This window comes from Homo sapiens, chromosome 10, assembly GCF_000001405.40.
Source record: "Homo sapiens chromosome 10, GRCh38.p14 Primary Assembly".
Lineage (NCBI taxonomy): Eukaryota > Metazoa > Chordata > Mammalia > Primates > Hominidae > Homo > Homo sapiens.
The window spans coordinates 23,532,417-23,552,881 of NC_000010.11; the positions used below are offsets into that span (position 1 = coordinate 23,532,417).

At 40.6% G+C, this 20,465-nt stretch overlaps 1 long non-coding RNA gene across 2 annotated transcripts in view; it reads left to right on the forward strand.

The window, feature by feature from the left end:
• The first annotated feature begins 11,503 nt into the window (after window positions 1-11,503).
• LOC105376454 (uncharacterized) overlaps window positions 11,504-20,465 on the forward strand; it is a 42,321-nt gene continuing 33,359 nt past the window's right edge. For both annotated transcript variants that reach the window (XR_930753.3, XR_930754.3), the window contains exons 1-3: window positions 11,504-11,585; window positions 15,400-15,535; window positions 15,774-16,297. This is a non-coding gene — a long non-coding RNA (uncharacterized LOC105376454). The remainder of the gene's footprint in view (window positions 11,586-15,399; window positions 15,536-15,773; window positions 16,298-20,465) is intronic.

Below are 20,465 nucleotides of genomic sequence, written 5' to 3' on the forward strand. Positions count from 1 at the left end.
AGACTGCAGAACCGTAAGTAAACTTACTTAGGGAATATGAGGGAGCAGGGCTTTTCTTTCTTCTGGGTGCATTTTTAATGCAGAGTCACAGATATCAGCCAATGCTAGGGTCTAGCTCCTGTTCAGGTGGCCTTGGTTTCCCATCTTCATCTCATTAGCCACAGGCTCTTTGAATGAGCTTATTAACTATCATGGCTTTAGCTTCCACCAAGGTGCTAATGGCTCCCAAATTTCCATCTCTAGTACTAAACTCTTTCTTTCTTTCTTTTTTCTTTTTTGAGACAGAGTCTTTCTCTATCACCTAGGCTGGAGTTCAGTGATGAGCTCTCAGCTCACTTCACCCTTGACCTCTGAGACCCAAATGATCCTCCCACCTCAGTTCCCCAAGTCACTGGGACCGCAGGTGTGCACCACCATGCCCAGCTAATGTTGTTTCTTTTTTTGTAGATACAGGGTCCCCCTATGTTGTCCAGGCTGGTCTCAAACTCCTGGGCTCAAATGATCCTCCTCAATAATAACTTAATTGTATATTTAAAAATAAGGAATGTAAATGGATTGTTTGTAACTCAAAGGGCAAATACTTGAGGGGATGGATAGGGTTATTCTCCATGATATGCTTATTTCACATTGCATGCCTGCATCAAAACATCGCACATACTCCATGAAAATATACACCTACTATGCACCCATAAAAATTTAAAACCATAATTTAAAAAAAAGAGATCCTCTTGCCTCGGCCAAAGTACTGGGATTTACAGGCATGAGCCACTGTGCCAGGCCCTAAACTGCTTCTCAAACTCAAGACCTGTGTATATAATTGTGTACTGGACACTTTTTCTCATAAGTCCCAGGGAAACCTCGAAGTCAATGCGTCTCACAATGAAACTCTTCCTAAGTTCTTCATAGTCCCTGTGTCAGGGAGTAGTATCATTATCTACCTGATTGCTTAAGCCAGAAACCTGTGAATCATCAGTGATGCCCTCACTTATTGTCCCCTATGTCTTCTCAGTCATTATGATACTTCAACGCTATTTCTATTATTTCTGAAAAGCACCTCTTTCTATCCCCAGTACTACATTCTTAGTCAAGATTCTTCTTACTTTTTGTATGTCTTCTTATAACAGCCTCCTAATTTCTTTTCTCAGCCTTGAGTTATTCACCTCTCACTACCATTCTCCTTTCTGGAGTTAACTTTCTAAATTGAAGATCTCATAATGTCAGTTTAAAAATCATTCATGAGGCTGGGTGTCATGGCTCATTCCTGTAATATCTGAACTTTGGGAGGCAGAGGCAGGGGAATTGCTTGAGGCCAGGAGTTTGAGACCAGCCTGGGCAACATAGTGAGACCCCCGTCTCTATTTAAAAAAATGAAAATGAGGGCCAGGAGTGGTGGCTCATGCCTGTAATCCCAGAACTTTGGGAGGCTGAGGTGGGCGGATCATGAGGTCAGGAGATCGAAACCATCCTGGCTAACACATTGAAACCCCGTCTCTACTAAAAATATAAAAAAATAGCCGGGCATGGTGGCGGGCACCTGTAGTCCCAGCTACTCGGGAGGCTGAGGCAGGAGAATCACTTGAACCTGGGAGGCAGAGCTTGCAGTGAGCCAAGATTGCACCACTGCACTCCAGCCTGGGCAACAGAGGGAGATTCCATCTCAAAATAAATAAATAAATAAATAAATAAATAAATAAATAAATAAATAAAAAGAAAGCGAAAACATTAGCCAGGTGTGGTGGTGCAAGCCTGTAGTCCTAGCGATTTGGGAGGCTGAGGTGGGAGGATCACTTGAACCCAGGAAGTCATGGCTGCAGTGAGGTATGATTGCACCACTGCATTCCAGCCTGGGTGACAGAGTGACATGCTGTGTCAAAAAAAAAAAAAAAAAAAAAGAAAAGAAAAAGAATATCTTGCATGAGATCATTTGCTAAGGAGCCATGAGTTCTTTTGCATGACCTTTCCATCCTGTCCAACATGGTGGTTAGCCAGTCCTTCCCTTCAACTCCACATTCCAGCCAGGCTAGTTGATCCTTAAATGTGCTGTGCTCCTTCCTGCCTCGGTGTGCTAGCTGCTCCTTCTATGAACATCCTCCCCACTGCTTCTGCCTGCACGGCTTCACAATTCAGCTCAGGTGCTTCCTCCTTTAGACAGCCTTAAAGTTTTTTCTCTGTGAACACGTCTACTATAGACTTGCTGTGCCATCATCTGTTTACTTCTGAGTTTCCCCAAATATGTTGTAAACTTCTTGAAGCTAAAACCAGCACCTGGATGTTCAATGAATAATCAAATAGAGTATTTTATTCAACCGGTAAGTTCAAAGATGATTAAAACCACGAACTCTTTACTAATTACCCTGTTTGGTGTTTACACTCTGGGCAGAATCAATTCTGAAACAAATAAGAAAAATGAAGATAGCAGTGGTGCTATATTAGTATTGATAAAAGACACTGCAAAGGAGGAACCTCCTGCCATTATCCACCCACTTCTAGCAGAAGAGATTGGTGGGTGAAAGAAATGAAGTATGGTAACCTAACCTGACATATGCTAGGGTGGGCGGAAGGCAATCATTGCATTCTGATGGAGTAATACCTAGGTAGAGGTTCTGCTCCATTGTTAGCTGTTAAGCAGCTGTAACAAACATTGGCAGGTGTCTGAACTTTAAAAGCCTTTGATTGTCCAAAAAAGACTGGAAAATACCTTTCCAGAAGAAAGAGAGGAGTTGTGTAGCATCCTATGAGGACTCAAACAGAAGAGTGGATGTGACTTGGATTTTTATGCTCCCAACTCAGAGGAGTTGGCCGGGTAAGCTGTTTTCAGTTTGTTTTCTGTTTTATCTATTTACGCTATTACTCAGTAACATTTAGCAGATAGCTAACAAGATAGCATTTAGTCTTTTTTTTTTTTTTGTATTTTTTTAAAAAATAGAGACAAGGTCTCACTATGTTGCCCAGGCTGGTCTCAAAGTCCTGGGCTTAATGATCCTACCACCTTGGCCTCCTGCAGTGTTGGAATTACAGCGTGAGCCACCATGCCCCACCAGCATTTAACTCTCTCTAGGTCAACTATATTAATCCTTAAGATCTCTGCCCCTTTCTTTCTGGGACACTTACCCATCTGAATTATCCACAAGAGATACCCTAACATTTACCCTCCATAGAGGGGAGCTAGAGATACATCCAAGGGATATAAAATAGAGGACCTATCATACTGGTCAAATAAGAAATTTTCAGCAATATTTATTTAGCACCAACTCAGAAGTTGCTCTAGAATTCCTATAAAAAGGGGATTAAGGACATAATTTGTTTGAGTGGGGAGGGGCTGATGGAGATTATGTAGTAGTAGGTGAAGCTAAGTCTTTTCTGAGTCCTTGAATCCCCTTCTTGTGTTGCCATGGTATCTATTTTCTTACTGTATTATGCTGGGCACTGTGGGAGATTTTTTCAAAAACAGGTTGTTAAAGATGAACCCTGCTCTCAAGAAAATTAGAGTTGAGCTTGGGGAGACAGAAATAATAAATTTAAGAGGCTGTTAATTTACCAAGAACAATTTTCTGAAGACAACTGAGGTACAGGAAAATTCTAATGTAACTTGATAGATGAGAGTCTAACAATTTTAATAGAGTAAATTTGGGGTCCATATTATTGCAAGATAAATGAAATAATGAGGTGAGCCTTCGTGTCTGGTTGACCAGGAATTCTGGGTCTGACTACACTATTTAATGCTTTCAGATACAAGTTGGTACTCCTTGGTGGCCATTGTGTTTAATATCTGGTTAAATATCAATGAGAATCATTCTGGCTCTTGGGCTTGGATGAATTTTCAGGGCAGTGGCAGGGATTCTGGGAATCCCTTGGTAACTTGGTCCCCATTTTTTCAGCCTAAGGCAGGGCGATTGGGCTGAGAGATGACTGGGGATGTGGTCATACTTCCTTTATTTTCCAATTTCCTAAAACAGGGTTGCTTGCAGTCTTTCCACCCTGTCTTGCCCCCTTCTGTATCTCATGTGTCTCCTCTCCAGAAAATGAAAACTTGCTTGCTCTGCCCCATTTGAAAAATGGGGTTGAGCACAGAAAAAGACAGTGCCAATGTCCAATTGCATTATATCTGAATTTACATTATCAAGGGGCATGTTTACTAAGGGATTTTCCTATAATCATGTTCTCTTTGAGTTGAAAGAAATCAAAGTATTGCCTTGAGGAGAAAGAATTAAGATATAATTATTGTATAGGGTAGATATGTGTGAGTAATCAAAACTAAGGTTTTTGAGCGCATACTATAAGCCAGACCCTGTTCTAAGCAATTTATTTCTCGGTGGCCCAATGAGGTCTGTACTATTAATATCCCCATTTTAGAGATGTGGAAATTTAGGTATTAAAAAATGTAATCTTTCCCAAGAGCATGTAGCTAGTAAGTGACAAAGTTAAGATTTTAACCTCAACCAGTCTTACCCTAGAGACCACATTTTTTAACTACAATGTTATTGTGAAGTGAACAAGTATAGGTTGCCATGTTTGTGTTTTGTTTTGTTTTTAAATTAGCTCAAATTCACAGCTGGACCATAATAATTAAAAATCTTAAGAGCTAGCTTTGTTATAAATGAAAAGAACACATTGAGGGTAGGAAAACCCTGCAAATACTTGGAATTTTGATTTTTAATTTCTAAAGAAATTCTGATTTGATTTCTAATCCTAGCCTCTTAGGTTTTCCCAGAGGCATCTTGCTATCTTACTTGTCTTTTCTTTCTCTAGAATCTTCAGTTTTTCTCTTTTGATTCCTTTCTCTTGCCCATGTCTACTCCATCTTGGGAAAAACCATGAGTGACCTAGTCTTGACTGTACCTGCTTTCTCTAGTTTTTTAAAAATACCTGTTTCTCCCTTCCACTCCCTCCATTTCTTCAAGCTTCTTCTCTTGAAGGTCCAAGTAACCTCTCTGTGAAGTTCAAAGACATTTGTCATTTCTACTATTTCTTGCTCCTTTATTTCCTGTAATACTGGAAAGTCCAGCACCTTTGCTTCTTTTTTCCTTTTCACCTCTCGTCTTCCTCCCACCCTCTCACTGTGGGTTTCTCCAATGCTTATTTCTTAGAACTCTGCTGTTCTTTTGATACATTTTCCCCTTTGCAAAGGTCATCTGTTTTCAAAGTTTCATCTCTCCCTTTCATACAAGCTCTTTTAGATCTATCTATACCTTTGTCATTTCCTCTTACATGAATGCCAGTATTTATTTCCAAATTCTTCCTGGAAATTTCCATTTAAATATTTTACGGTCACCATTAAACTCAAAGTGCACAAGCCTGAGCTTATAATCAGTGTTTTCCACATGGAAATAAATTTTTGAAGAAAGATGAGGGGTCTATTGGGAAAGAACTCACTTAAAGTTGAGAAAATTGCAATTAGTAAAATATCTAATTATTATTTTAATAACAATAATAATAGAAAAACACAAAGCATGTGCATTAAACCTGGCACCATTTTAAGTACCTTATATGGATTAACTTATTTAAACCTTAAAACAGTTATTATTCTTATTTTACAGTTGAAGGAATTCAGCCTAGAAATGCTAAAGCAACAGCCCCCCAACAAATGACATCACATGGCTGTTAAGTGGAGGATACAAATTCATCTCAGGCAATGTCGTTGAATTAATGGAGTCTACTCCTAACCAATACATTATATTTCCATGCCCTGTTTTCTAATTTCCCATGCTCAAAACTATACTCATTAACATTCTTTTTTTTTTCCAGTCCAATCCATAACTTCTCTACTTCTCTTTCAAAATGTTTTTGTTGTGTCTATCAGTCAGGGTCTGCAAAGGCACAGATGGTCCATTCCAAAAAGACACAGAGGGATGGTTCAGAAAACCAGGAAGAGATGAGGAGGCTCCCAGGTATTAAACTATTGGGATGCTGTTACCACTCCTAGTATTGAAAGGACAAAAGGGATGGGCAATGCTCTGGGTTGCCAGTTCAGAGAAAGCTGATCGATGGAGCTGGGTCTACCCACCAGTTCCCAGAGGAACACAGCCGCTATTGAACACTGCAGAGGCATGGCATAGGGTGAGGAGGTGAGTGTGGAAAGCAAATGCCCACCCCTTCTCTCCAAGAGCCTTCCAATTTCTTGCTTGTGCTTTGTAACCTCATGCCTGGATCCTTACTACCTCTTCAATAACCTTACTTCATTCCCTTCTGCTCTATCCCACCACACATTGCCAGATCAGTCTCTGAGATGCTGCGTTCCTTATGCCATTTTTCTTCTCACAACCTTGAATGGCTGGGAACTACTCCTCAGTTTGTTGTTGGTGATCCCCAAATCCTGAGTCCAATCTCTCATTCCAGTGTTATCTTCTGCAGGTCTCCTAGCCCCTTGCTCTAATTGGCCTCCTCACCATTCCCCTCTCTACACACAGCTCATTTTCCTGCCTGCTTCAAATGCCATTACATAGCCCTCTGTACACGTGGAACAATTTTTGTCTTCCATCTACATATTATATATCCTTCAAGGCCCATCTCCTCTGCAGACCTTCTCTGACTGCTCCTACATACATGGGTTCCTCTGTTTTCTTTGATTTTTGTTGAATTGCGGGTAGCATCTTACCAATCCTGTCTTAATTATGTTTGTGTTTGTTTCATGATTGTGCATCTTGTCTCCTCTAGCTGAAGGGTGAGGATTCTAAATCAGTGGTATGGTCCATGGTTCATTGGTGTGACTCATTTTTTAAGCTGTAACAAACAGTTTGAAGGGGCATAGTTCATGTGTCTCAGCAAAGAGTGATCTATGCTCTAAGCTTCTTACTATAAAACCAGGGGAATCCCAGCCTCAGGTACCTCTCTCTCGTCGCAGGGTCCCAGGTGTTCCCCTTTGCTGCTAGAAGCATGTCAGATCAGTGCCCCAAGATCATCTCTGCAGTGCTTGGTCTTTGCTGCTGTAGGTTGTAGGCCTTACTGCAATAGGTCTTTGACGTTGATCAGTGCTCAGTAAACACCTTTCAACTTTCTTTCTGGGAATTGTTCATTTCCATGGGCTCTGCATGCTTTTCAATGTTCATGGTGCAAACCATCCTGTTTGCCAAGAATTGCCTGTTGGGATGAGATTATTTGAAGTATAACAAAGCTTCATACCTCCAGAGAATTCTAGCCTGCTGACGCTTACTTAGTATCTGTGGCTGAAGTTGGTCCATGTCAACTCTTCCCCACTCTAGGGCAATGCTGGGGACATGGTCTTCATTTCTCTTCTTTGCTCAAGAATTTCAGTGCTGGAGTTGACTGTGAGCTCTGTTCAACTGGGAAACCTCTGAGAAACTCTCTGTGACATGCTTGGACATACTTATTTCCTCTAACTGGCAAAACAATGTGTTCTCACAAGGCCCTTGCCAGCTATCATCTGCTGCATTGTTTACATGTTGATTTTTTTTTCTCTCTGTCCTTTTCCCAATCACATACTTTAAGGTTCTAGAATGTCCTTTACTTCTACTGGGAAGGTTTAAAACTCAACCTTTTAGTAGTTAGGTAGAGGCAGGAGGAGTTAGAGGAAATAAGTGTATGCATTACATTACTCTTTTAGATGATTTCTCTGGCCTGATATCTAGAAGCTTTTCTCATCTTCTTGTATTTTTCTACCCTGTCTTTTTTACAGAATGCACCTTAAAATAACAAAAAATGACACGTTCTCCAACAGCTTAGTCTGAACTGGAGGAATTTTAATCCTAAGAAAGGCCAAAGTATTCCAGATAGAGGAAGAATTTGCATGGTGGACTCAATTAATAATGGATATCTTGAGGTCTCCTGAATTACATATATACACTTGAAAAATAATTGTGCTCATTAATTTTGGAGCAAACAAATTCAACTTTCATCTTTAAAAAATCTACTATGGTTTGTAATTAGGTAACAAAATGCACTGTTCTCCAAATTCAGCAGCAGTTTGCTCACTGTCTAGATGTTTCTTCCTATCAAGTGAAAGCTATATTGCCTTTTAAGAGTTGATCACAGAAGTGAAAAACATCACCAGACTAGTTAAATCCAGACACAGGGAATGGAGGTAAAAAAGAATCCTTTAAAAAAGCTATTATCCATACAAGAACCTTCTTCTCTGAAGATTTTGGCATCATGAAGGAACTTATCTGTCTGCCTCAACTGTCATAAAATTGCACGTTGTGAAACAGGAAGCCAGAGCTAGAGGGAAGCAGAGAAGGGGGCTGGGTGATTTCCTTTTGCAAACACAAAGACCTTCCTTCGTTGGAAGGAAAAGAAAAAAAACAAGCCAGAAGCTGAAGTTGGTGGGTTTGAGGGCTTGCAAATGCAGGCAGCTGAAACTTTGTAAACAGTTAGCATAAAACTCATTTTTAATCTCATAAACTTAATTTTTTCCCCTAGCATATGGGATGCATAAAAAGGAAATAAAACTTTAGTAAATTGAGCCTTACTTGTGCTTTATAAAAAAGAAATTGAATTGCTCTAATGGCAGCTGCAGCTGGCTTTCAGCTTCAAACAACCAGTGTAAATCTAGTTTTTAGTGCTTGATTTAGTAAACACTCAGCTGCAAACAGGCTTCCACAACAGCTCTGAATGCAAGGTTTTCTGTAAAGACTGTTATGTAACCTCTGTGTGTTATGTCTTTAAAATATGTGAAGGAGAGCAGAAACCTTGATTGAGATATCTTACAATTATTCTTTCCTCTATATTTAAAGCTGCATAGACTTTGCTACTCATTATACATAGAGCTAGCACGAATGGATCCTAACAGGCCATGAATTTAAATTTATGTGCACTAGTCATTAAAAATAAACAAAAGTAGAGTACTAATAATGGTCTGGGAAGCCATAGTTGAGTTGGACACATTGGTTGGTTATCTCAAAGTGATCATCACAGCTTGTTTGTGGCTCTGCCCTTCTCTGAGCCTTATGTCAGGCTCCCACACATTGAAGAGCCTTGAGGAATCATATTCTGCTTGGCAAAGGCTGCATGTGCCCGGCTTACAATTTTTGCTAAAAATAGGGGGAAAATCTTGTTCCTGATGAGCAAGATGAAATGTCCAACTGTTTTTAAATGGATGCATAAATAACTGTTGAGATTATAATGCTAGTCTATCTAAAATATTTCCTAGTGACCTGGACTTAGAGGGGGATTTGTAGCGTTCTGGTGGTTGTCACTTTTCCCATCACTAGATACCAACAGGTAGACAAAATGAGAGTTGGTATCTTATGGCATTCTTGCCAAAGGAACTTTTTAAAAGAATCCTGGGAAGGATGGCCAGGGTTAACCCTGGGAACAATTTTGAATTAGGATAAATCTGTGTCTGTTTCTTTCTCCCTTGATTGTCTTCCAATACCTCAGTCTTATTTTTAGCTGGCTGTCAACCAAAACTACCTAAGGCATTAATTGATAAGTATTAAGGTACTCCATTTCTCAGGGGTATTTCCAATTTTAAAAGAGACTCGTGAATGTGGAAAAGTCCTAAGACCCCCAATTTGGGATGTTTGCACGACAGGTTCTGGGGTTGATCTGGGTAGAGGGCAACTTGTTCTAAGGCTGGCTCTGGGCACAATGGCCGGAGTTTCGAAAAGTAAATTTACACACACCCTTTTTCTTTTTTCCCACCATCTGGTTGTTCAGCTGCCAGCAACTGGAGCTATTAAACAAATGGGGACTTTAGGAAATTTGAAAACCAGACTGCTGCACAGTATGGTAGGTGGAGAGAGAGTCAGCAGTGATGCCTCTACTTGTGGCTTGCTGTTACCAGCTGAGTGACCTTAAGGAAGTCACTTCAACTCTCTGAGCTTCCGCCTGGCCTTTGGTTTCATAAAATCATGAAAAAGCACAATGAAAATGCACAATGAAAACTGTAAAGTACTACACAATTGCGAGATCCTTTGATTATTCAAGGCAGTGAAGGGTACGTACATAATAAATAGTAGCTTCTTATTCCCAGGGAGAGGGTAATTATCACCTTACCATTGTGATTCAGAGAAATAATGTGAGCAAGTAACAGATCTTGTTATATCTGTAGATGAAAGTCTGGAACTTGCAGAAGATTAGATCACTGACTATTCATACAATTTAAAAGGATGGAAGCATTACAGAAATTAAAGAGAAAACATTAAGGTGAAGACACTGGGCTATTCCAGTGTAATCTGTATCCTGTAGCCTGAATCCCCTGCCAGGGGTTCAGATAATACCAGGTCTCTTTTTAATATTCAAGTTAATCACCCAAGAGCCTACCTGTTTATATTGGAGGTATATATTGTAGGTACAGCTTATTATTATTACTATTTGAAACAGGGTTTTACTCTGTCACCCAGGCTGGGCTGCAGTGTTGTGATCCCTGGGCTCAGGTGATCCTCTCACCCCAGCCTCCCAAGTTGTTGGGACTACAGGCATGCACCACCATGCCTGGCTAACTTTTTTGTATTTTTTTGTAGAGACAGGGTTGCACCATGTTGCCCAGGCTGGTCTCGAACTCCTGGGCTTAAGTGATCCACCTGCCTCCCCCTCCCAAAGTACTGGGATTACAGGCATGAGCTACCGCATCTGGCTATCTTATTTTTCTTTAATTTTTTTAAATTACATTTTAAATGAAAAACTGTACACATGTGGTTTAAAAAGTCAAGATGGTAGTAAAAGATCTATTACAAAATTCAGCAGTGTTCTGACTCACTCCTTCTCACTTTTCCCAGGTCCCCTCTCCAAAGACAACCACTTCCAGCTCTTTTAACTTCCTTTTGGCATTTAACATCTCCAAAGTTCCAAACACTACACATATATTTCTATATTTTGATTTGTCCATTCTAGACATCATCTATTGAATTCTTATTGTAGGAAACATAACTGGCTTTCTACACTGCCTCCATTTTGCTTCCTTTTTCTCATTCTCCCAATATAGTCCAATTACAATTTTGGTTAAATCAGTATTGTTGTCATTGTAATATTTTTTTATAACTGAGTGCTGTAGTATACTATGATTGTTTTTTCTTTCCTTCCTTTATATTTTTCTTAAAGTTAATAATGCCTTTTTTATTTGTTTAGTTTTCTTTGTATCTATTTTTAAGTATTTCCATCTTTTCTAATGGCTGTTTTTAGTAAAATATTACACAAAGCTATTCACAATAGCCTACCTATCAGTTTCCTTTTGTATTTTTTGAGAAACTGCCTCTAGAGACCTTTCTTCTTACTTCTAGGCTGGCTAGATAGTAGTCACACCTTTGGATTACTTTTGCTCCTGTTCCAGGCCTTGGTGGGCTTTCTGAACCTTTTTTTTTTTTTTTTAAAAAAAAAAAACAAAACAAAACAGAAATGTTTTTTCTAACTCTTTTTTGTTAAAATTAGAGAATATCCTCCAGGAGTTTCGTCTAGGTTGAATGATTTTATAGTAGCAGAGGGAATCAGGATGATAGCCCCAGCATGCCAATCATCTGAATCACACAATTTCATTCATTATCTCTACTTGATGGGCATTCTATTATCACTAGGCAACTCCCTTTACCATTGTCTTGAAAATTCTTTTTTTTTTTTCTCTCTCCTGGTGTGAGTCTTCTCTTTCGTGTAGCCTACATATTCTTAGTTTACTCCCTCACTCTGGTGAGGTCATGGTATGGTTTGACTGCCCCCTCCCAAATCTCAACTTGAATTGTATCTCCCAGAATTCCCACATGTTGCGGGAGGGTCACAGGGGGAGGTAATTGAATCACGGGGGCCAGGCTTTCCTGTGCTATTCTTGTCATAGTGAATAAATCTCACAAAATCTGATGGGTTTATCAGGGGTTTCTGCTTTTGCTTCTTCCTCATTTTTCTCTTGCCACTGTATGTAAGAGGTGACGTTTGAGGCCTCCCCAGCCATGTGGAATTATCAATCCAATTAAACCTCTTTTTCTTCCCAGTCTCACATACGTCTTTATCAGCAGCATGAAAACGAACTAATACAGTAAATCGGTACCAGTAGAGTGGGGTGTTGCTGAAAAGATACCCGAAAATGTGGAAGTGACTGTGTAACAGGCAGAGGTTGGAACAGTTTTGAGGGCTCAGAAGAAGACAGGAAAATTTGTGAAAGTTTGGAACTTTGCCCAATATCCTGATAGTGATATGGACAATAAGGTCCAGGCTGAGGTGGTCTCAAATGGAGATGAGGAACTTGTTGGGAACTAGAGTAAAGGTGACTCTTGTTATGTTTTAGCAAAGAGACTGGTGGCATTTTGCCCCTGCTCTAGAGATTTATGGAACTTTGAACTTGAGAGAGGTGATTCAGGGTATCTGGTGGAAAAAAAACTTCTAGGTAGCAAAGCATGTAAGGGATGACTTGAGTTCTGTTAAAGGCATTCAGTTTTATAAGGGAAGCAGAGCATAAAAGTTTGGAAAATTTGCAGCCTGACTATGTAATAGAAAAGAAAAACCCATTTTCTGGGGAGAAATTCAAGCTGGCTGCAGAAATTTGCATAAGTAGCAAAGACCCTAATGTTAATCTCCAAGACCATCGGGAAAATGTCTCCAGGTCATGTCAGAGAACTTCACGGCAGTCCCTCCCATCACAGGCTTGGAGACCCAGGAAGAAAAAGCCGTTTCATGGGCCGGGCCCAGGGTCCCTGTGATGTGTGCAGCCTAGGGACTTGGTGTCCTGCATCCCAGCCACTCTAGCTGTGGCTGATAGGGGCCAATGTACAGCTCAGGCTGTGGCTTCAGAGGGTGGAAGCCCCAGGCCTTGGCAGCTTCCATGTGGTGTTGAGCCTTCGTTGCACAGAAGTCAAGAATTGAGGTTTTCCCAAACCTCCACCTAGAATTCAGAATATATATGGAAATGGCTAGATGACCAGGCAAAAGTTTGCTGCAGGGGTGGGGCCCTCATGGAGAACCTCTGCTAGGGCATTGCGGAAAGGAAATGTGGGGTCAGAGCCCCCACACAGAGGCCCTACTGGGGTACTGCCTAGTGGAGCTGTGAGAAGAGGGCCACCACCCTCCAGACCCCAGAATAGTAGATCCACTGACAGCTTGCACCCTGCACCTGGAAAAGCCGCAGACACTCAATGCCAGCCTGTGTAAGTAGCCAGGAGGGAGGTCGTACCCTGCAAAGCCATAGATGCAGAGCTGCCCAAGACCATGGGAACCCACCTTTTGCATCAGCATGACCTGGATGTGAGACCTGGAGTCGAAGTACATCATTTTGGAGCTTTAAAATTTGACTGCCAGCCTGGATTTCAGACTTGCACGGGCCCTGTAACCCCTTTGTTTTGGCCAATTTCTCGCATTTGGAACGGTTGTATTTACCCAATACCTGCACCCCAATTGTATCTAGGAAGTAACTAGCTTGCTTTTGATTTTACAAGCTCATAGGCAGAAGGGACTTGCCTTGTCTCAGATGAAACTTTGGACTGTGGACTTTTTGAGTTAATGCTGAAATGAGTTAAGACTTTGGGGGACTGTTGGGAAGGTATGATCGGTTTTGAAATGTGAGAACATGAGTTTTAAATGAATCAGGGGCAGAATGATATGGTTTGGCTGTGTCCCCAACCAAATCTCAACTTGAATTGTATCTCCCAGAATTCCCACATGTTGTGGGAGGGAGCCGGGGGAAGTAATTGAATCAAAGGGGCCTGTTCTATTCCTGTGATAGTGAATAAATCTCATGAGATCTGATGGGTTTATCAGGGTTTCCGCTTTTTGTTCTTCCTCATTTTTCTCTTGTGGCTGCCATGTAAGAAGTGCCTTTCACCTCCTGCCATGATTCAGAGGCCTCCCCAGCCATGTGGAACTAGAAGTCCAATTAAATCTCTTTTTCTTCTCAGTCTCAGGTATGTCTTTTATCAGCAGCATGAAAACAGACTAATACAGGGCATCTTCAATAGCTTCCTGAGAAAGTGTGCACGAAAAGCACATCTTTTGAGACCTTACATTTCTAAAAGTGTTTTAGTTCTACCTCCCCTCCAATTTATGGCTGAGTATTGAACTCAAGGTTGGAAGTAATTTTTCTTCACAATTTGGAAGGCATTGCTCCATGGTCTTCTGGATTCCAGGGCTAGTGTTGAGAAGTACAAAGCCATTCTGAATCCTGCTGCTTTCCACGTGGCTTCTTCTCCCTCTCTCTTTCTTTCTAACTTGCAGAAGCTTTGTAAAACTTATTTTTGGCAGTATTCTGAACTGATGTGCCCTTGGGTGAGTCTATTTTGTTCCACTGTGCTGGGTACTCAATAGACCTTTCAAAGTAGAAGCTGATATCTTTTAGCTCTGAGAAATGTTGCTTATAATCTTATCTCCTGTTTTCTTGGTTCTTTCTAACCATCCCATAATTTTGATGTTGGACTTCCTGGACTTGTGTTCTAATTTTCTGACTTCTCTGGTTGTTCTTCTCTTTAGATTTTCTCCTGGTTTCGGGGTTTTCTTTCTTTCTTTTTTTTTTTTTTTTTTTGAGATGGAGTCTCACTCTGTCCCCTAGGCTGGAGTGCAGTGGTGAGATCTCGGTTCACTGCAAGCTTCACCTCTGGGGTTCACGCCATTCTCCTGCCTCAGCCTCCTGAGTAGCTGGGACTACAGGTGCCCACCACTACGCCCGACTAATTTTTTGTACTTTTAGTAGAGACAGGGTTTCACCGTGTTAGCCAGGATGGTCTCGATCTCCTGGTCTCGTGATCCACCTGCCTCAGCCTCCCAAAGTGCTGGTATTACAGGTGTGAGCCACCGCGCCCAGCTGGTTTTGGGGTTTTCCAATCCTTATGTTAAATTTAAAGAGAACACTTTTTATTCTCTGAATGCTCTTTTTTGGAGGATTCTGTTCTTGCTTTATTAATGCATTATCTTTTCTTGTGCCTCTGAGTATAGGAGTTACGGTTTTTGTTTTCAAAGTATTCTTTTCCTTGCATTGTTTCAGTTTCCTTGTAGTTGCTTTTTTTTTTTTTTTTTCTGTTTGTTCTCATCTTTATCTTTCATGTAGGTTTCCTCATACTTTTGGTAGCTCTTGCATGTCTGCTCATGATAAAGATTAGGGGCCTGAAAAACGGATTAGGGTCTCTGTGAATATGGTTGTACTTGTCGACTTTGAGCTTCATTGTGGGATCATGCTCACACGGGTCATTTGTTTGCAGAGGTCTTACTGTCAGTATCATGAAGGCTTTTTCTTTTCCTCTCTTACTATTTTGCTAGACTTCATGATTTTTTTTTCCTTTTTGCTAAAATTTCAGGATTTACATAGTAGCATGCACTGCAGTATCTTATTATAATGCTGCGCCTTTGAATAACTTTTTTTTGAGACAAGGTCTTGCTCTGTTGTCCAGGCAGGAGTGCAGTGGCACGGTCATGGGTCACTGCAGCTTTGACCTTCCAAGCTCAAGTGATCTTCCCACTTCAGCCTTCCCAGTAGTTGGGACCACAGTCATGCCCCACCACGCCTGGCTAATTTTTTTTTTTTTTTTAATTTTGTAGATACAACGTCTTTCTATGTTTCCCAGGCTGGTGTCAAACTACTGGGCTCAAGTGATCCTCTCACCTCAGCCTTCCAAAGTGCTGAAACTACAAATGGGAGCCACCAGGCCAGGTCTTGAATAACTTTTGTTGCTGAGTAAGACATTTGAGAATCTTGTTTCTTTTGTCTTTTACTGACCTTCTATGCTACTTAACTATACAATGTGGCTTATTACATAGAGTCTCTTGGTATTATATTCTTTCTGAAAAAGATATTTTTTTCCCATTGCAAATAAGACAAACAATGATGTCTTTAAAACAAAAGAAGTATTTCCTAGTCTCCTTACTTTGAAACACATGATTTTCATCAACTGCCTTTCTTTTCTTGGCAACAGCCTTTTGGAAAATTGACAGACTCCACTCACACCATCCCCATCCATTCTCCCACCATCTGCCTTCCTTCCAAGCTTAAAGAGACGGATATCTACCTACAAGGCAAATCCAATCAACCATTATCCTCCAATTGCCAGACCCTGCTAGTGGCACATCCATCAGTACATGAACTGAATATGTCACAGAGTGTATCAAAGCTAAGGTAGGTGCCTGTCCCACCATCAGTTGAATGAGAAGGTTTCTGATATCAGAAATTGGGCTACCCTGCTTTGCCAAGACTCTCTTTTCCAATCTCTCAAAGGCAGATAATAACACTAATGGACAATGTGGCCATGAGCATTAAAACAAATCATTAGGCTGGAGGCTTCTCATCAGTGCTTGAGGGCAATTTCACCACCTGGGGCTTTCCGAGAAGGCTTTTGAAGGCTCTGAAACATGCTCAGTCTGCAGGAGTATGCAGGCACCCACCGTGCCCCAAGATATGGACTGTGGAGCGTTCATTGTCTCAACAATTACTCACTGCAAGGTATTTTCTTATGGAGTTGTTTTTGTTCCCCCTAAAATATTATTACAGAAAAGAAAACTGCATTTGATTCCTAGTGTTGTTTTAAGAGTTCAGTGCTAGCAAACTGCCATATTCATTCTATTCTCTCTTTTCAACCAAGGATTGTGTCAGATGGACTCCAATAAATGGCTTTACAGTGGTGCATACCATGCACACACTAATTACAGACCAAACATGTCTATTTAATGAGAAAAACAATCCTAATCTGGGAAGATGGTGCCATTGCATGAAAATATCATGGATTCTAGTGCCAGATTAGCCTGGGTTGGAGTTCTGTATCTGTCCTTTACATCAGGGGTTCCCAGCCCCTGGCTGTGGACCGGTACTGGTCCGTGGTCTGGTACTGGTCCATGGTCTGTTAGGAAGGGGCCACGCAGCAGGAGATGAATGGCAGGTGAGTGAATATTACTGCCTGAGCTCCTTCTCCTGTTAGATCAGGGGTGGCATTAGATTATCATAGGAGCACAAACCCTATTGTGAACTGTGTACATGTGAGGGATCTAGGTTGCACGTTCCTTATGAGAATCTAATGCCTGATGATCTGAGGTGGAACAGTTTCATCCAAAACCATCCCCCAGCCCTTGTCCACCCCCCAGCCCATGGAAAAATTGTCTTCCACGGGACCAGTCCCTGGTGCCAAAAACGTTGGGGACTGCTGCTGTACATGTTTGAACTTGTGGGGGTTACCTGGCCTATTTGGACTGCATTTTTTTGGTCTAAGATGGGGTTGATAACCACTTTGCAGTATTGATGTGACTATGCAATGAATTTATGATCATAAAGTACCTGGTACATAATTGGTGCTCAATAAATATTCATTTTCCTTTATTCTGTTATAAAACCATTTTCTGTTTTAATATATTTATTTTAATAATATGTTAAATATACTTAAATAAGTGTGTTTATTGCAAGATAATACCAAATAGTTGTCTTTGGTAATATTCTGAATTTCATTTTAAGCTTTCCACACATTGCCTTGAGTTAACTTTTCAAGCATGGTGTAAGTCACAGGGTTCCATATTGTAACCACCATTGTGCTGGTGGGATGGGTTGCTCACTGGCCAGGAGATGGGCACTATGCAGGGACAGACAGCCTCAGGCTCTCTTCCTTGTTTGCTGCTGCCATTTCTCAGTGACCCCAAAAGTTACCACTGTAAAGGCATCTCTCCCACAAACAGACTTTTCCTACCCTGGAGTGAGGTGGACACAAAGGAAAGAAATACCATTACTGTATTAGTTACAAATATATGCATGTTAAGTTCTCTTTCCCAGGTATTATTTGTGTACTTTGTTTATTAGTTAAAGTGAATCTAACAGTGCTTTCAGCAGCATTCCTTTTATTATTCTGTCTCTCTATGTATTTGTATGATCTGATATTTTCTCCCTCCAGGCATTTGTTCTTAATTCAGGTATCTTTCACCATTTTTGGTGGGGGAGCTGGAGGAAGGGATTTCAATCAGTTTTGAGTTTGTGAGAAGCCAATTTGTAATGAATGTCTCATAGATCTTTTATTTTATTTTATTTATATTTTTTTGAGACGGAGTTTCGCACTCATTGCCCAGGCTGGAGTGCAATGGCGTGACGTCGGCTCACTGCAGCCTCCACCTCCCAGGTTCAAGCAATTCTCCTGCCTCAGCTTCCCGAGTAGCTGGGATTACAGGTGCCTGCCACCACACCTGGCTATTTTTCTTTTTTTGTATTTTTAGCAGAGACGGGGTTTTGCCATGTTGGTCAGGCTGGTCTCAAACTCCTGACCTCAGGTAATCTGCCTGCCTCAGCCTCCCAAAGTGCTGGTATTACAGGCATGAGCCACAGTGCCTGGCCCATTGATCTTTTAAATGAGACATTTTATTAAAGCCTCATCATGCTCCATCCATAAGATCCATCCTAGTGACAGAAACTCCAGTCAACTTCCAGGCACTCATCCAATAGTACCAGGGTAGAAGGGCAATATGTTTATTAGGATTGTCTTAAATTACAGTTTGAATTGTAAGTAGACCCTCAAATATATCATTATATGTATTCAAATTATGTTAAATTACAACTAGAATTTTTAAGTAGACTCTCTTAATATCTGTTAAAGACCTCTGCCACACTTAAAAAATATTTTAAGCAATTATAGGGCATTTGGGAGAGAGTATTTAGTTCAGCTTTCTTCTTAAATAGATTCAAAGAGTCTTTCCCCCTCCCCATCTTTATTGAAGTTTAATTGACAAATAAGATGTACAGCTTGGGGCGATGTGGTAGGCGCCTGTAGTCCCAGCTACTCGGGAGGCTGAGGCAGGAGAATGGCGTGAACCAGGAGGGGCGGAGCCTTCAGTGAGCAGAGATCGCACCACTGCACTCCAGCCTGGGCGACAGAGCGAGACTCCGTCTCAAAAAAAAAAAAAAAAGATGTACAACTTCATGTTTTTCTATATGTATACATAGTTAATAATACTGTATGGTATACTTGAAGTTTGCTAAGAGGGTAGATCTTCAGTTTTCCCAGTTTTTGGTGACAATCATTGACCTACATCCCCTCTACACACACACACAAACACACAAAGACAAAAAATACAGAAAAAATAGTAATCATGTGAATTTTGTGGATTTTTTTTAAAGGGTAGAAAGAGGGAGGTAACAAAAAGGCCATAAAAATGCCTGTGTGTGTGTGTGTGCGTGTGCGCGTGAGTGTGTGTGTGTGTGTATTTGTGTGTTATGTATACAGCCGTGTCCAAATTGCTTTTCAAAACACACTGTTAGACTCTCCCTAGGCCTTGGTGGAAACAGGGTCAGCCAGGAATAAGGAAAGGCCAAGAGCTCTGTCTTCAGTTGGCTCCTTTCTAAAGACGTCTCACACTTTAGAAAGACGAAGGTCTCCATGATCTTTTCCTGTTATGGTTCGTTCTTGGTAACTCCCTTTTATTCAGCAACCATTAGGCTTAGAAGCCATGCAATAACAATGAATCAATAAGTTATTTATTTTAACTGTTTATAAGAAAATGATAAAGTAGAGAATTAGAATAGGTGGTAGTTAAAACCACAGGCTTCAGAATGAGACAGATTTTAATCCCTTACTAGCTGTGCAGTCTTTGTACATTTTTAATCTTTAATTTCTTATCTAAAAAATTGGAAAGAATAATGGTTCTCAAGTTACAGAATAATGAGGAGCAAATGAAATAATTATTATATATTATATAATATCTCAATACAAATTAATGTTTTAATGAGAATTTTAATAAATTATTTTTATCCCTTTAATGACCATATCAACATTTTATTAAACATCCCTTATGATACCTTTCTATGTATGTAAGTTCACAAGGATATGGAAATCATTTTTTAATGTAAATAGGATCAAAGTATACATGCTGTGATGGTTAATATTGAGTGTCAACTTGATTGGATTGAAAGATGCACAGTATTGTTCCTGGGTGTGTCTGTGAGGGTGTTGCCAAAGGAGATTAACATTTGAGTCAGTGGACTGGGAGAGGCAGACCCACCCTCCATCTGGGTGGGCACCATCTAATTAGCTTCCAGTGTGGCCAGAATAAAGCAGGCAGACATTGGAAGAACTTGACTTGCTGAGTCTTCCAGCCTTCATCTTTCTCCCATGCTGGGTGCTTCCTACCTTGGAATACTGGACTCCGAGTTCTTCAGCTTTTGGACTCTTGGACTTACACCAGTTGTTTGCCAGGGGCTCTCAGACCTTTGGCCACAGACTGAAGCCTGCACCGTTGGCTTCCCTACTTTCGAGGCTTTCTTGCTCCTCAGCTTGCAGATGGTCTACTGTGGGACTTCACCTTGCAATCATGTGAGTCAATACTCCTTAATAAACTCCCCTTCATATATACATCTGTCCTATTAGTCCTGTCCCTCTAGAGAACCTTGACTAATACACCGGCTATTCTCTTACCTGATTTATTCACTAGACTACATGTTGTAAGACATTTTCCAAGTCAAAAATATAAGTCTTCATCATCTTTTCAATGGTTATAGATAATTTTATTTAATGTATCTATAATAATTTATATACCCACCCCTCACATGTGAACCATTATTTTGTGTCCATTTTTAAAATTAAAACATTCTGGAATGGATATTCTTATGGCTACACTTTGTGTGTGTGTGTACACATGCATTTTTT